The sequence below is a fragment of the Homo sapiens genome, chromosome 2, assembly GCF_000001405.40.
Source record: "Homo sapiens chromosome 2, GRCh38.p14 Primary Assembly".
Taxonomy (NCBI): domain Eukaryota; kingdom Metazoa; phylum Chordata; class Mammalia; order Primates; family Hominidae; genus Homo; species Homo sapiens.
Window position 1 is genome coordinate 149,130,127 of NC_000002.12, and position 16,981 is coordinate 149,147,107.

At 41.1% G+C, this 16,981-nt stretch overlaps 1 protein-coding gene across 29 annotated transcripts in view; it reads left to right on the plus strand.

Moving 5' to 3' along the window:
- Positions 1 to 16,981, plus strand: part of LYPD6B (LY6/PLAUR domain containing 6B) — a 176,564-nt gene that overhangs the window by 91,428 nt on the left and 68,155 nt on the right. For 23 of the 29 annotated variants that reach the window (XM_047443412.1, XM_017003366.2, XM_047443411.1 and 20 more), the window contains one exon: positions 757 to 827. The exons of 1 other annotated variant lie outside the window; for it this stretch is intronic. In XM_047443412.1, coding sequence (XP_047299368.1) covers positions 823 to 827 — 5 coding nt within the window. In that variant the 5' untranslated portion in view covers positions 757 to 822. Of the gene's footprint in view, positions 1 to 756; positions 828 to 13,732; positions 13,831 to 16,981 lie in introns of all 29 variants that reach the window. 5 more of the 29 variants (XM_047443404.1, XM_047443405.1, XM_047443402.1 and 2 more) reach the window with 1 other exon arrangement.

Below are 16,981 nucleotides of genomic sequence, written 5' to 3' on the forward strand. Positions count from 1 at the left end.
TTCTGAGCCTTGGATTCATCAGGGCACAGAAGGAAGATTTGTTCCCCCATGAGGCTGTTGCTGAGGACAGTTTGTGCCAATCTACTGATCTGTCCCCCAGCCTTTGCTCTTAAAATGGCAAATTTCCAGATGTATGACGTTTTTATTATTCTAGGGGAAAAAGCTCTTTAAATGCCTTTTGAAGGGGAGGAGAAGAGAAGTCGCTAGTTTAATTTGGACAGAGTGGTTTGGCTTGGGTCCTATAGCCATATCATAATGAGTCTTTATTTAGGCACACATCCATGGAGTAATTAATCCAGGAGGGGCAAAAGCTAGTTTTTTATCTTAGGTACCTGACAAATTCTGTTTTATACCTGGAGGTAAAGTTGAAGATGCATGTTCACAACCAAAAACTTCTGCATCTAAAAGAGGGTATTAGGCCTTGTCCCACTAACTTACAGCAGAGCTGGATTAAGTGATTTTCTGTGACTGGGGAAAGGAGTGTTGACTGCATTCTCCTTCCTAATTCTTGCAGACACTAAAAATGTGTATCCATTCCATCTATGTCCTGCCAAATCTTTCTACCCAAGGACAAGAGGCCACTGTACAAAATCTGGTCTTTCTTGTACCTGGTTTGTGGTTAGGAAAGGTTATTGAGCCTAAGGATCTCTTTATGATGTGTCCCCAGCCTAAAACCCCCTACTTACTTAAAATCCCTTTATCCCAAATGTCTATAATATCAGTCATAATGATACCTTTTCATGTTCATTTGTTTAGATATGCCACACTTCTGCCTGCTGTTGGCAACCCTCCTGGACTAGGCTGCTCTTGTTAATCACATGGATGTTGTGAGTATTATATTCACAAGTGGATGTAGAGAAGATATTTTTATTTAACTATAAATGCTTACCACATGAGCTACTCATGCTTCGCAAAAATATATTAAACATTTGTGATCTGGAGTTTCATTAATCTCAGGGATTATGCTGCTTGTTCATTGGTTAAATAATGTGGTTTCAGTATCTTCCCCTAATCATATTGACTTTTTATGAAAGAACTTTTGACACAAAGCTGTGTCTCAGAATGTTTTGATGTAAAGGTAGCTGCTGATCTTAATTTGCAATTGTGGATTCATTTCATCTTGTATGCTTTTATGTTATAGGTTCCTTAAGGTTGCCAGCATGAAAGTGCTTCAGATGGCTTTGAGTCCTAATCTTGTGGTTCTGTTCACTGAAGATAAGCAGCAATTTTTTGATTATTTTATTTTCCTATGGATTGCCAATAGGTCTAAATAACCTCCTTAGTTGTACTGGCAGGACCAAGTAAAAAGACAAGGGATGAAAAGGAGGGAAGGAAAAAAAGGAAAGAAAGAGAGAAAGAGCGAGGAAATATGAGAAAGAAAAAGAGGAGGGAAAGAGGAAAGAGAGAATTGTCTTGGGAAGGTGATATAGGCCACTAATTACTTTAGAGCTGCAAGCCTCCTGCACAATAATTTATTTGTAAGAAAGGGCCCATCTTCAGAATCCCAAAAGAAAGTATATACGTGGACCTGTGTGGTTGGTCAGCACCACTTCTCTCCTCCCTAAGTTTAATGATCAAAGGATGGAAAAGCTGTCAGATCCCTTCCTGGATCTTAAGTCAGTCTCTTGTGTGACTGACTTGAAGAGTCACAATGAAAATTTCCAAACATAAAGCAAAGGACATCTGACCAGCAAAGTCTTTGGGAGCTAAAACAGAATGAGAGGCTAGAAAGAATTGATGATGAAAATACTTCTGTCAAAGAGAGAAGCATCTTAGAAAAGTCCACAGAACCACAGAATCTTAGACAGCACTCTCAGGTGATCATTTTAGTCTTGTCATTTGTGCTTTATTTATGGAGAAACTGAGACCGGGAGAGGGGAAAAGACATGCCAAAGCTAACACAGTATGGGGCTGAGCAAAGCCATGCATCCTGGGTCCATGCTCCCTTTTTTAAAAGAAACACTCATAGGCAAGTCAGGGCTGGTTGCATAGAATCAAATGAAATAGGGCAGACAGAATTTATTTCATTGAATGCTTAAAGAAGAGCCGTGCCTAGAATGAAGTTTATTTTTTTGAGGTTTTGAAAATGTAAATTTTCCAGGGCCATGCCAGATTCCCTGTGTGCAACAAATAGAAGCAGCATTCTAGATGGAACCCAGGGAGCCTGGGACAGATTTACAAAGGGTTCATGTAGAAATGGACTCACCTTTCATGTACCATGATTTGGTTTCGGTTTGGGCAAAAGGAAAGGGACATAGAAAAGTACATAGGTTAATGACAAGTGGAACATGATTGCTTAGGCCCTTTCTCTAGGAAAGGGGTTAGATGCAGCTCGATTTCTCAATCTCTGGCAGCTCTAGTGGGTGTGGGGCCAAAGCCCAACATTTTGGCTCCCTCTCCTTTTCTGCAGATGGAAGTGAAATGAACTCATTGGCAGCTACACACCGAGAAGGAGAAAGGCTTTGAAGCCTTTTTAGTGCTACTTAGCAAGGAGATGTACTGCTAAAGACTGGGGACAACTTATTTCCATTTTACAGATGTGCAGTTTGTTAACTGTGCTTGGCCCTGCCCCATTAAATTAGCTTTCCACTCTTGGTAGCTTGTTGAATGAATTGCTAGGGCTCTGCTTCATTGCTGCTTGGCAGGCAGTTTAGTAGAACACTTTGGTAGCAAGCACCAACACAGAATTCTGAGACTTAGATTGTTTCAAAGTCTGTCCAAAGCCCTCAGTTTCTGAGAACTGATGCTATTATTTATTTACTTATTTAAAAATTTTTTTCTATGGTGCATTTCATTGTAGCAACAGACCAAGAACAATTATGGATCAGGAACTGTAGTACTTATTTAATTATATTTCAGAGTTTTGTTTTTACTAGGTTCTAGATCTCCAGTGAATTATGTGGCCCACAGCCTCTCATTTCTATGTGCATCTGGGTTGCTTCCTCTTTAGCCAGACTTAAGATTTAAAGGGTCCCACAGACTCATATTCAGGAAATTGAATGTCTTTGGCTAGAGCGATTCTAAACTGCAAAGTAGTCTTGGGAAACTGGGCCTCTGTAGTCAGTTTAATGAGGTACTAAAACCCAGGAAAGGTACTAAGGCTCTGTGGTCAGTTTAATGAGGTACTAAGACCCAGGAAAAGTACTAAGCCTCTGTGGTTAGTTTAATGAGATACTAAGACCCAGGAAAGTTACTAAGACCCAGTGGTTATCAATAAAACAATATATTCATTAGTATAGTTTCATTGATAATTAGTGGATCTTAGTACCTTTCCTTCCTCCCTGTCCTTTGACTTTAGGTGCTGGAAAGGGAGGCAGTGTAGCCAGAGTAAATCTGTTTCACTTCAAGATCACAACTAGGCATTGGTATTGATTTCTCCTCCCTTTGGGAATATCTTAGAGAACAGTCTTGGGAACCATGAAGAGCTGGGCATCTTTCAAGAGTATCAGAACCACTAAGTCGAAATACATTCACATGTCGGCTTGTAAGGTATAATCCTAGATGTATTACTGCAAGATTAGCAGAACTTCTTGGCACTTGCTTCAGTTGGCTTTGACTTTTTGTAGAGTGCTTTTCTCTGCTAGAATCAGGGAGAAGGGAAGGTGAGAGAATGTTCTTTCTACCTTCATTCAGTGTACTTCAGTGTCAGTATGGAGATACACAGGAGAATGTGTGTGAGCTAAAAGAGTGAAATAAAGAAAATCCATTTAGCAAATATTTATTGAATGCCTTCTTGGTGCCAGATGCTGTAGTTACAGCAGTGAACAAGCCATGGTTCCTGTTCTCTGGGGATATGTTATATTGAGGGGAGAGGAAAGACCAACAAGCAATATATTTCTAGTGGTGGCAAGTGCTATGCGAAAACAAATAAATGAAGGAAGGAAGGTTAGGAAGAAGGAAGGAAGAGTAAGCAAAGCAAGCCAGCAGGGAAGGGGGCTGGGGAATGCTGGCGGTATTATTTTATGAAGTGTCGTTCTGAGAAGGGGACGTACAGCGGAGACCTGAAGAAAGGAGAGAGAGAGAGCCCCATGTACTTGAGCTGGAGAAGGATCAGGCAGAGGGCTTAGTGGGATGGAGTCAGCTTATCCCTATGCTCTTCTCTGCAGTCACATCTTACTACCTTGGCTGCTTCTGATTTACAAGTTGGCTATTCTCATTTTAACCATAGTTTTATGAGGTGGCTGCTATAGAATTATGCCTAGATTGTACTTTATTAAAGCAGTTGTTGTTGTTGTCAAGCACCAAATTCATTATATTTCGATTACATGGAATTCTGATTTTTTAGAAAGCCACAGAAAAGACTCCAGCCTACTAAACTCTTTATCGCTTCTAAGGTATCTGTAGGCCTGGAAAACTATTCCTTGGGGGATGGGAATGCTTATATAAATGTAGAGTTGTTTTACTGCCCCTGCAATTCAGATCGCTAGAGAGTATTCATCTGAAATAAAAGTAGGTTTGCTTAAGATAGATTTGAATCAATGATATAACTTGAAGTTATGCCAACAACCCCATTCTCTCACAGTATATGATGTGGCAGAGGGAAAAGTTGGTATGGGAGGAGGCAAAGGAATGCAAGAGCTTTGCATTAGCCAAATTTGGAAGCAAGCCAGGATCCATCCTGAGACCACGTAGTCAATCTGGGTTGTCAATCACTGTCTACCAGCCCAGGGCTACTTGATCAAGATCTTTGGAACTGGTGTGCTGGAACAAAGAGTAGCGAGGCATGCAAGGTTAAGAGCATGCTATATTCATAAAATAATATTTTAAAACCAAAGTTATCTTAGAATCATGGGAAATATTTAAAGCAACCATCAACTCTTTGAAGATTATTTGTAGGGCCGGGCACAGTGGCTTATGCCTGTAATCCCAGCACTTTGGGAGGCTGAGGCAGGTGGATCACTTGAGGTCAGGAGTTCAAGACCAGCCTGGCCGACATGATGAAACCCCATCTCTACTAAAAATACAAAAATTAGCCGGGTGTGGTGAGGCACGCCTGTAATCCTAGCTACTTAGGAGGCTGAGACACAACAATTGCTTGAACCCGGGAGACGGAGGTTGTAGTGAGCCAAGATTGTTCCACTGCTCTCCAGCCTGGGTGACAGAGCAAGACTCTGTCTCAAATTAAAAAAAAAAAAAAAAATAGATTACTTGCAGTTGTGTCTGATTTTCCCAGGGTCCCTTTGTAATGTCAATTGTAAACTATTTTTTTTGTAAGTTTTGAGAATTCCTTTAGGTTAAAAGGATATTGTTTAATGAGCTTTGTGTGCATATTTAAATATGTGTATGTATGAATAAAGAAATGTGTATTTTTGGCCAGGCACGGTGACTCACGCTTGTAACCCCAGCACTTTGGAAGGCCAAGGCGGGTGGATCACCTGAGGTCAGGAGTTCGAGACCAGCCTGGCCAACATGGTGAAACCCCATCTCTACTAAAAATACAAAAATAAGCCAGGGGTGGTGGCAGGCACCGGTAATCCCAGCTACTCAGGAGGCTGAGGCAGGAGAATCGCTTGAACCTGGGAGGCGGAGCCTGCTGTGAGCCAAGATCATGCCACTGCACTCCAGCCTGGGCAACAGAGGGAGACCATGTCTCAAAAAAAAAAAAAAAAAAAAAAAAAAAGTGTGTTTTTTTCCAAACTATTTCTGTGGAGGTCTAAAATATTTTTAAAGAAAGAATTAAGAAGCCTCAGAAGTCAATGAGAGATACTTTATTAAGAACCAGAGCTGATACCTTATGTCACATTAAGGGGACATTTTCCTTGATTCTCCCTGCCATCCCTCCCCATGCCAGGCTGGGAGTGGTACTCTTTCTTTGTGTTCCCAGAGTATCCCATGAATGCCTAATCATAGTCATCGCTACCTGCTAATTCATATCTTTCCATGGCTTTCTGGAGGGCTGACACTGTGTCCTTGAGCTTAAAATTACCAGCAGTTTGCATGGGGGCTGACATGTAATAGCGGCTCCATATATGTTTATTGAATACCTAGAAGAATGAATTAGTTATTAAGATTTATATCTTATTCAGAACATTCTGGCAACCAAAGCAAAAAGAAAAATGTATTAGTTTCACTGTTTCCTATGCATTTAAGTCTAAACAGAGCATTACTTCAGAAGTTACATTTTTCTCCCCTTGGTGCTAAGTGCCTGAAAGTATTTATCTGATGAAACAGTGAGTTTCATAAGAAGCATTATTTTCAATATTTCATAAGCTACCAGTGCCCTGGACTAAATGAAAGAATTACCGTGGCTTTTGGTAGAAGCTTACAGCCAGAGGCCAACTCCAGCATCCAGAGACTCCGAGTCTTCATTAGCTTCTTAGGAGATTCGCTGTTACAACGCCTCATTCCCAGATGGCAGTGGGTCACCAGCCATCTTATTTTATGCCACTGGATTTTATTTTCATGATTGCAACTCTCTAATAGATATTCTACTGAAAGATTTTACTGTGTTCATAGGCTGAAGCATTAAGTGAAGTGTGTGATTTAAGGAAAAACACCCAATAGAAAACAAATTGTAAGGGTGTTGCAGTTAGTTTAGAAGGATATGGCTCCTCCAAATTCTGCAGAGGCATTTGTCCTTGCTGACTTATAAGCTTTGTGAGAAAATAATTATTTCGTGAAAAAAATGTGAATACTGGTCAAAGTAAGCTAATGAATATTGGCCTAATTAAAAAATGTTTTTAGGCAGCTTATTCTATGAAGAGGGAACAGTGCTAAGGAGTACAAAGATGTAGTTGCTGAAGGAAAGAAGATTGATTGGTTTTTGCTCTGTATATATGGGCCAAGATAGAGAAAGAGGACAGAGAGGAAAATTAAAAATCCTTTGATCCAGCAACAATAATTCTTCATTTAAATGTTTTGGATGGATGCATTTCCTTTTAAGTTGGATAATAAATTAGTAGAGAAAGGCAATGAGTAGTTGTGTTCTGAATCCCAAGGCAGTCTAAGGAGAGTGAAGGCAGCAGACATTTATTGAGCATCTGCTATTTTCTAGGCATTGTGTAAAGGACTTTAGGTATTGTTTTTCTTTGAACTCTTATAGTAATCCTGTGAGTCAAAGAGGGGGAACTGGATGAGTGAGGTTAATTAAATTGTTAAGATCATGCAGTTAGTGTATATATCAAAGCCATGATTGAATCCACTTAAGTGTGTTCCAAAGCTCAGGCTGTTATTATTTTATTTTTAAGATACTCCAGTGGTTTCCCATTTACAAGTAAGGGACCCACAGGAGCTTCAGAGAGATTGCAAAGGGTTCATTTAAGGGTATATCTGGCTTATCTATGCATAAGAAAATATGTGTCTCTGAAATTATATGTACATCTCTATTTCAAAAACATGTAGGCATTTCAAAATTTACCAATTAAAATTTTATTCAAAAACATTTTGTCTGGAATATAAATTCAACAAGAGCAGAGATTTTTGTATATTTTATGTGATACAACTCATGTGCTTAGAACCATGCTCAGCATAGCAGATGCTCAATAAATATTTGTGCATACAAGAGTGAAACAATCATTATAGTTCTTTAAATATGCCAGGGCTTATTTAATCAAATTTTTGTTAGTAGACATTTAGATTGTTTTCATTTTTTCTTTCATAAACAACACATCTGTACTATAAATAAGTCTCTATACATATAACTTTGCACCTTACAAATAAATATTCTATTATTTCATTATAATAGATTGCTGGAAGTAAACTTGCTGGGTCAAAGGAATACATATTTTAAATTTTAATACAATCTTTCTGGGGCAATTTGGTATGATGTATCAATGCCATTACCTGTAGTGCCATATAAAATTATCTGTTTCACATCCACCTGGCTGACATTAGGAGTTAATCTTTTCACTCTTTATAAAGTATCATTAAATTCCAAGATTCAGAAGGCTTATTGCTTCCTCCAAGTTTCTATTTATCCTTCTTATAAGCTAGAGTAATATCCTGTGGCTTCTTTCCTCCTGAGTTGAAGGAGTTTGTGTGATGACATTTTTCAATGAAATTACTTTTTTAAAAAACACAAATTATGTTCTCTTTTCTACTCTCTGAACTCCTGTTTGAATATATGGATTCAGACTCTTGTCATTGGTAAATATGAACCTAGGGAGGGAAAGGAAGTCTGGAATTAGTTGCACATTATTAGCAGGTGGAATCTGACCACTTGCTGAGAAACAATTTATGTATTGCTGTACTCCATGTGATTTCTTGTTCCAGGCCCAACCAGTTTGAATGAATGTGACTCCATAGTATGTTCATGTTGGCTGTTAAAGATGTAGAGAAGGAGCTACTGACTTTTATCTTTGCCACATAAGCAGGTGCAGATGTGGATGGGAAAATCCATGTGTGACCAACAGATCTTTCCACCTAGCAAATAAAGAAAAGAGCACTGGCCTTTTGCATGGGTTTTCAGCAGAGGAGGTTTTCTTTTTTTAAGTAGACACAGGGTCTTGCTCTGTCACCCAGGCTGGAGTGCAGTGGTATGATTATAGCTCACTGTATCATCGAACTCCTGGGCTCAAGCAATCCTGTCACCTCAGGCTCCCAAGTGGCTAAGACTATAGGTATGTGTACCACACTCGGCCCATTTTTAATATTTTTGTAGAGACAGAGCCTTGCTATATTACCCAGGCTAGTCTTGAACTCCTGAACTCCTGCCTCAAGCAATCCTCCTACCTTGGCCTCCCAAAGTGCTAGGATTACACAGATGTGAGCCACTGCACATGGCCATCAGCAGAGGACTTTAAGAACACACAGAAGCATATGTTCAACATTCTCCAAAACAATTTTTGCAGTGTTATATTTTCTAAAGTAATGTTCTCTTCTGTCTTATGCACATGAAAACTACGTGAACTGGTATATTCCTCTTGCTGTTTACTAGGAAGTTCAGAACCAAATGTAAATCTTAATAACTCATTCATTCATTTATTCAATGAGGATACATGGAAACCCTGTGACATGTAGCACCGTGAAGTGCTGGCAGTCCTGAACTCAAGGCCACAGTGTCAGCCTTCCAGCAAGGTGGTTCGAGTTCCAACTCGGGAAGGAATGGTTTATTGCCTCCTGGAGCCCCTATGCTTTGGATGCTTGCCCTGGAAGGGGAGAGCATGGCTTTTCCATGAAACATAACCCGTTCTCCACTCAGCTTATTAGCAATAGAAAGGGGGCAGCTCATATTCCTCTCAGGTGTCGTCAAAGGCTGCTGTTGTCCAAGGGTGAAGGCCCCTTGGTAGCTTGATTAGCACACAGCTTGGCCTGTGCTGATTTTCAGATGGAGACCATCAGATATAATCTGCCGCTTCATTAGGTTGACACTCTTCCTGCCCCCTCTTGTAATAATGTCACCAGAGCACTTAATAATTTTAGGTAAAGGCTGTAAGCATACACTTCAGAGGCAACCTAGGGTCGGCGGTGACAGATGCTAGCAAGGCAAATCTTTTCTCATTCCTCATTTAAACAGCAAGGCACTGTTTAAAATATAACAAGCAAAGAGGTATCATAATGGGGAAAGTTTAAGTATTAGAGGAGCAGAACTTACAGCAACATAACTACTTTAAAACAAATATCTTATTCAAATTTGCCGTGTTTCAAGATCAAGGGGGCCATGAAATAAATTGGATGATTATTACAGACTTAAAGAAGAGAACTTGTTTATCTTAGAGAAGAGAAGGCAGAGAGAGGCCCTTAAGTATTTGAAGATAGGTAATATGGACATAGTTGTGAACTCCTCTCCATTTCCCATGAAAATTAGAGACATATGTCTTACATTTGTTCAAGAAGGAATTAGGTTAGACTATAAGAAGAACTTTCTAGGGACTGGAAAAGCCCATGGGTGGGAAGAAAAGAAGACTCACCTCTTTTTAAAATTTCTTGCTTCCTTCCTTTTTTGTTGTTGTGTGGGGGTGGATTTTTTTTTCTTTACTGGAACTGAATTCCAGAAGTAATTTATTGGCCTGACACCAGGCTGTGTATAAATTCACAAACGTATATAACCTGCTCCCAGAGGACCATGTGCATGTGGGAGGGATTGGACAGATTGTTCTATATTTCCTGGGTGACAGGCTGTGGTGGGAAAGGGCTGGGGACCCTGAGTGTTTGGCTTGTAGCCTACACCTAACACCAGCTTTTCTTGGTCAGTGCTGGTGATGCCAAGGCAACGAGCGAGCTTGTGGTTCAGCGCTTTGCATGATGTGGGGCTCCCTTAAAGAACCAAAGTGTGGGGAGAGTGCCTTCAGGGCAGGGCTGCTGGGAAGTGGCAGGGCGAGGAGGCTTCCTTCTGTCCCCATGATTCCCTCACATAGGGTAGTGCTAAGCGAGGTCCAGAGAAGGTAAATGGGAGAAGTCTCATAAAGAGTTGAACTTGTAGGAATCAGGGGTGCCCGTTCAGCATGGCAATTGAATCCTTGATCCTCAGGGAGTTAGCTAGATCCGACTCACACCTGCTGGACCGTGAGAGCCAATGTCCCTCCCACACTCTTAGATTCAAATAATCTCTTTAAGCTTATCCTTGCATTTAGAATGCCAGTACTTTTGTAGCATTGGTGTTGTATTCCCCACACTGGCTGAAAGAAGGTTTTCCCTCACTTTTATGATTGGGTCACCAAGGAAATAAATGCCTGGTGAATTTCCACAAAATCCAGCATCGTGGCATAAATTCTTTCTCTCCATCTTGAATTTTCTTTCTCCAGAGAGAAAACTTTTCTCCATTTGTCCCATCTTTGATCGTTCGTTAGGCATAAAAGGAGAGAGGAAGCTGCAGTTTGCAAAAATAAACACTTTAGAAGGGATTTGGCCAAAACATAAAACAATGTTTACATTTCCCATCTGCAAATTTTATGATAGAGGCACATATTTATTTGGTGCCTACTGTGTGCTATAGGTACTGATAGATAACAGTAAATAAAGTCCCTGTTCTCATGGAACTTACCTTCTAATGTGAGAGGCCAACAAAAATCATCAGGTGGTGGTAAGTGATGAAAAAAGCACTAAAACCAGGTAAGAAAATAGAGATTGATAGGGTAGAATATTCTTTAGATAACCTGGTCAGGGCAGGCTTTTGTGACTAAGTGACGTTTGGGCAGAGAGCTGAGTGAATGCAGGGAGTAAGCCATGTGACTGTCTGGGGCAGAGCATTCCAGGAAATGGGAACCATGCGTGCAAAGTCCTGAGGCAGGGCCACAATTGTACTTGGTGCATCCGCGTGGAGTACAGGGGGGAGAGAAATCAGGGAGGTAGCCTGATTTAAAGTTGTTTGGTGTGTCTTTTCATCTTCTGTATTTTTTGTATATTTTCTATCATTTTGTTCTGTTATTCTGGAAATGTCGTTAGGAATTACATAGCAATGAATCAGATTTGTAAAGCCATTCAACATTTTGCATTCCAAGTGAATTTAATGGGTCCATAGTTTCTGAATTACTGATATATTGAATTTTTTCTGCCTTGTTATTTTGTATTTGTTATATGAAATCTTTCTTACTTTTTTTCTTTTTATTTACTATTAAAAAAATTCCAACCTCCTGTTGGATTATCAAGTTTTCTCTTATTCTTCTTTTACCCCCTGTACCTAATTGGAAGCTGTATTAATTTTAATTTCCCAGGGCAACTATAACAAAGTAATACAAGCCGGATGGCTCAGAACAACAGAAATTTATTGTCTCATAGTCCTGGAGGTTAGAAGTCTGAAATCAAGGTGTCAGCAAGGCCATGCTTCCTCTAAGATCTGTAGAGAAATCTTTCTTCTCCTCTTTCAAGCTTCTGGTGGCTTGCTTGCAGTCTTTGGTGTTCCCTGGTTTGCAGCTGCATAACTCGAGTCTTGTCTGCACAGTGAGTTAGTAGCTGCTGGAGAGAAAATAGTACTAATTTGGAATTCTCACACCTGTACGGTTATAATAGTTAACTGATAACATCGAGACTTGGTCTGCTATCATTTACCTTATGGATTCCTGTATATGCAACCCTGCCCATGCTGCATATTAGAAACTTCTGCTCAGCTTTTAAAAAATACTGGTGTTCTGGCCAACTTCACTTAAGACCAGTTAAATTCGAATCTTGGTTGGCGTGGCTCTGGGCAATGGCGTTTATTAAAAGCTCCCCGGGTGACTTCATCACCCAGCCAGGATGCAGACCCATCGTGGGGAGACAATCTGGACAAATGTGTATTGAGCGCTGGCTGAGTGCAGCCAGCCCTGCACTGGGCTTGGGAGGTGCACCCGAAGAAGACCCATGGAGCACCCATCTTGCTTTTTCCAGGAATGGGGTCCTGTAGCATTTATTGAGGGTCTTACACCAGGGGCTCAGTTAATATTTGTTAATTGGTTGATTGAATTGCAGATCACTGATAAGGGGCCTGGGATACGAGTGAAAGAAGTGTTGAGTGAGAAGGGAATTGGAGAGTGCCAGCCAAGTATTAAATTAGGGGAACAGGACAGGAGATACCGCATCCTTAAAATGCAAACTTTGTTTTTGCCACTTTCTTTTGTGTGTGTTGTATATAATGCTTATCAACCTCTCCCCCCATAGACAACTTTTTCTTATCTCCTGTCTTTAAAAAAAAAAGTTTTAATTTTAGAGACAGGGTCTCACTATTTTGCCCAGGCTGGCCTTGAACTCCTGGTCTCAAGTGATCCTTCCATCTTAGCCCCGTGAGCAGCTGGGACTACAAGTGCATGCCACTACGCCCGGTTTCCTGCCCTCTTGAACTAAGTATTTTTTTAATCGACTTTTTCCTTCTTCACCTGATTACAAGCTACGTATCTTAATTGTATTCTTTAGGGAGTAACCTTCGTTTTAGAAATTAATAAACTTTTACTTTAGAATAGTTATAGATATATGGAGAAGTTGAAAAGATAGTACAAAGAGTTCACATATACCCCACACTCAGTTTCTGCTATTATTCACATCTTACATCAGTTTGGCACATTTTTTACAATTAATGAGGCAATAATGATACATTATTATTAGTTAACATGCATAATCATTCAGATTTCCTTAGTTCTTTTCCTTTTGTCCATTATCTCTCCCACTATCCCATCTATGATATTACATGTATGCACTACACTTTCAAAAATATGCATAAATCCATTTATTTCCCAGCAAAGTTTAACTTAATTGGCAGCTTTCTATTTGTATAAGATGAGACCATTAACACACTCTAATTCCCCTTTGTTTTTCCATCTCAACTTCTTGGCTCGTTGTATGTAAATTTTGGTTCCAACTTTTTTTTTTTAGGACAATGAGTTTATGATCTGGGCAGGGACCTTCGGTGAGAAATGGCAGTTCTTCTTGGTCTTCCTATGCTGAGGATGTGAGAGAAAACTACAAGACTACGCCATGTTTTTACTATACCGTTTGAAAAGTTTAGAAATTTGTGTTCTAACATTGCAACATGTGACGCAAAAAAAAAAAAAAAAAAAATCACACCACCATCACCCTAAAACAATGACAAGGGAAATTAGCTATGGGTGACAATAACTTGTCTTATCAATCTCAGCAGATCTCTCCTTCCAATTGTCTCTTCTGAGGAGCATAAAGACAGAATCATCACGAGATGCAGTAAATAACCCCCACAGAGTTTAATTGTTTTTAAATTGCAATTATAACTAATTAAATGCTAAGATGTGAACAGCTGCACAAGAATATTTAACAGATTTCTTGGCATCATCCCCACTTTTAATATTACTTTTAAAAGGCTAGCTATGGAAATAAGTAGTGAGTGGTTATTTTATGCTTTTCACATCAGAAACTGAAAAAACAACCTGAAAGTTGGCAAAGAAAGGATTCTGTGGTTTTTCTAAGTCTCTCAAGCCAGTGGACAGCCACGGCACTCAGCATAATTGGGTAAGTGTGGTCAGCAAGTCCTGAGAGATGAGATGAGATCAGTTCAAACTGCATGATAAGGGAGGTCTTTGTGGTGGATTCTTTCATCTAACATACATATATTCAGCTTTGACTGTGTACTTATCATTGTGTTAGAACTGGGGTCCCAGGGCAAAATAAATGATGACTTCTGCCTCAGAGGGGCTTATAGTATGATGGTGGAGATGGTCTGGTTCATCAGTGGCTTCAGCTTAATGCAGAGGATGGCAAACTATGGCCTGAAGCCAGCCTGCCAGTTTCTGTATGGCCTACAAGCTCAGAATGATTTGTATGAAGAAAAAAGAAAACAAGAATGGGGGTGGGGTCTTTGGGCACTGACTTTTTTGGCATTTCTGTCCAAAGTAGAGCCTCTATCTGGCCCTTTAGATGAAAGACTAGTTTTTTTTGTTTGTTTTTGTTTGTTTGTTTGTTTTCGAGACAGAGTCTCCCCCTGTCACCCAGGCTGGAATGCAGTGGCGTGATCTTGGCTCACTGTACTTTCCACCTCCCAGGTTCAAGCGAGTCTCCTGCCTTAGCCTCCCAAATAGCTGGGATTACAGGCACCCGCCACCACGCCTGGCTAATTTTTGTATTTTTAGTACAGACAAGGTTTCACCATGTTGGCCCTACTGGTTTTGAACTCCTGGGCTCAAGTCATCCGCCCACCTCAGCCTCCCAAAGTGCTGGGATTACAAGCATGAGCCATGGTGCCTGACCAAGACTAGTAGTATTTTGTAAGTAAGGATCACAGCATACTCATGAGGCTAGGACAGCAAAATCTTACTGGGGAAATCAGAGAAGTCACCCCCAGAAGAGGAGATACTATAGGAACAAACATTTAATGGCTTTTCCACTTGACGTGCCTTCAAATACAGCAAATTTCACATCTTCCACCCCTGATTTGTATTGAATTTGTTCTTTCCACTGTTCCCTATGAAACGTGGTGTCAACTGCTCTACTTGTTACTGCCCATTGATTGTGTTCCTTACTATGAAATCTACGGATGGGGCTTCAGAGGTCCTGAGAACCCCCTAAACTGAGAGTGTACAGATTCATATGTGCATATTTTTTCTGGGAAGAGGGGTTCATAGCCTCGCTCAGATTCTTTAAGTGGTCCGTCATTTGAAAATGTTGAGAAACACAGTTTTAAATTAGGCTTCTTGGAATTAAAATCAGTACCACTGATGGTGGGTTCTGACTAGAGCAGATTCAAGCAGAGGGATTATGAGTTTCCTTCTGTTAGTCCAGGTCAAATTTCCAATAGCTTCATCCATTCACAGCATATTTAGAGAGAAACCCTTCTCAAACTACTGGATTGTGTGCTTGGACGATACATGCAGTTGCGCTCTTGAGGGGACCTGGGATATTAGAGGATATTTGCCTGGATGCTCAAGAGAGCAGAGTCTGAGAAAAAGATTAAGATACTAACAGTTTACTTGGAAGACACAAGCCCGGGTGCGAGAGTGAGGGAAAACAGAAGTGAGACACAGGGGAAGATACGGTGAACACACTGGGATGCTTTATTGTGCTGACTGATGCCTTCCGGCAAGCCTGAAGAACCACATCTGTCTCTTCTGCAACTAATGCAGGAGGGTCACAAGGAAGGGCCACATGTTGAAACAGCCCATAGAAGAGAGAAAGAGGGGGTGGATGGATCTGCCAGCCTCCCTCCCTTCTCCCTTTTAACATCAGCAAAATTTTGTCCTATGAGCAGCTAATACTACTTCACTTGAAGTTGGCATCCTCCACCCCTCAGAGACTTCTCAGGAAGCTCTGTGGTGTGGTATTCTGGTCAATGCAAAACAGAGTGGTGACCCAGTGAAAGTGAGGGTGCCAGTCAAAAGAAAGAGAAATAAAAGCAATGCTTTAAGGAATCTGGGAAGGTGCACAAGGTTTGTTCCTCCTAGTAGGGGAGGCAGCAGACCTCTGAAGAAACAACAGGCAACAGTTGGGAGAAAGGAACTTCTGGGCAGAGGAAACATGTGACCGGAGGTGAAAACTGGAGAAGATAAGGTGTGCAAACTAGGGCAGGGAAGAAGACAGTTCTGCTGAGATAGTGTGTTCATGCCTCCATCTGCATGTCCATCTGATATTCATTAAGCTTCTATTCTGTGCCAATGACAATATGAGTGAACAAAAACAGAAATGGTCCTACCCTCGCAGAGCTTACAGTGCAAGAGACAGATATTAATCATGTAATTATACAAGCACGTGCAAAATTGCAATGACGTGGCGTGCTCATGGGGGAATGAAGAGTGGACTGTTCTGTGAACCTTTATTAGGTGGAGTTAATCATGGTGAGAGAGGCCAGGCTCTCCAGGCTGAGTGGTGCATGCACTGAGATAGACAGGAAGACTAAGAGTTAATAGCAAGTGAAAGGGAGGAAGGGGCACTGTAGGGGGGGATGCCATATCCAGAGGCTCTGCGGAAGGATGGAGCATGGCAAATACGAACCTCAGAAAGAAGACTGTGTGGCCAGAGCCAACAGAGGATGAGGGAGAATGGCAGGATGGGAGGTAGGCAGCAGGGCTGGGCCACGCCAGGCTGTGTGAAAGGAGTTTGCATTTGTCTGAGGAGCAGTGGGAGCCTTTGGATGCATTTATGTAGATAAGTATTATAATCAGGTTAGGGGTCATTTGGGAAGACCCAGTAAAGAGAACCCCTAGATATTAAAGACCCTCTCAGTTTAGACAGTCTTGGCCGAACTATGGCTATTGGGGGCCACTCCTCAGAGACCCCAAATATTAACAACCCCAAGGATGTGTGAAGGAAAAGCAACTCCAGGAGAATTCCGATAGTAACAAACAATAGGCACTGGAGACTTTAGGGGCTGGTAGCTGTGGGATTAGAAGACCCTTGCGCTTACCTGCCGGAACATATTTCAAACACTGTAGAATCTTCTACAAATTTTATTATTTTTTATTTCTTCACAACACTGTCAGGGCACAAGAAAGTCGAGGTGCACACATGGAAAGTCTAGAATTGAATCACGAATACGGGTGCCCTCCTGAGGCCTCATCCCTCCAGTGGGATTGCTGGGGATGGTCAGGTGAAGGGCTCCTCCCACACAGTCTAAGACTCCAGGGCGGAGAAGCACAACCCCAGCTTCTCAGCGGTTCCCAGAGCGTTGACT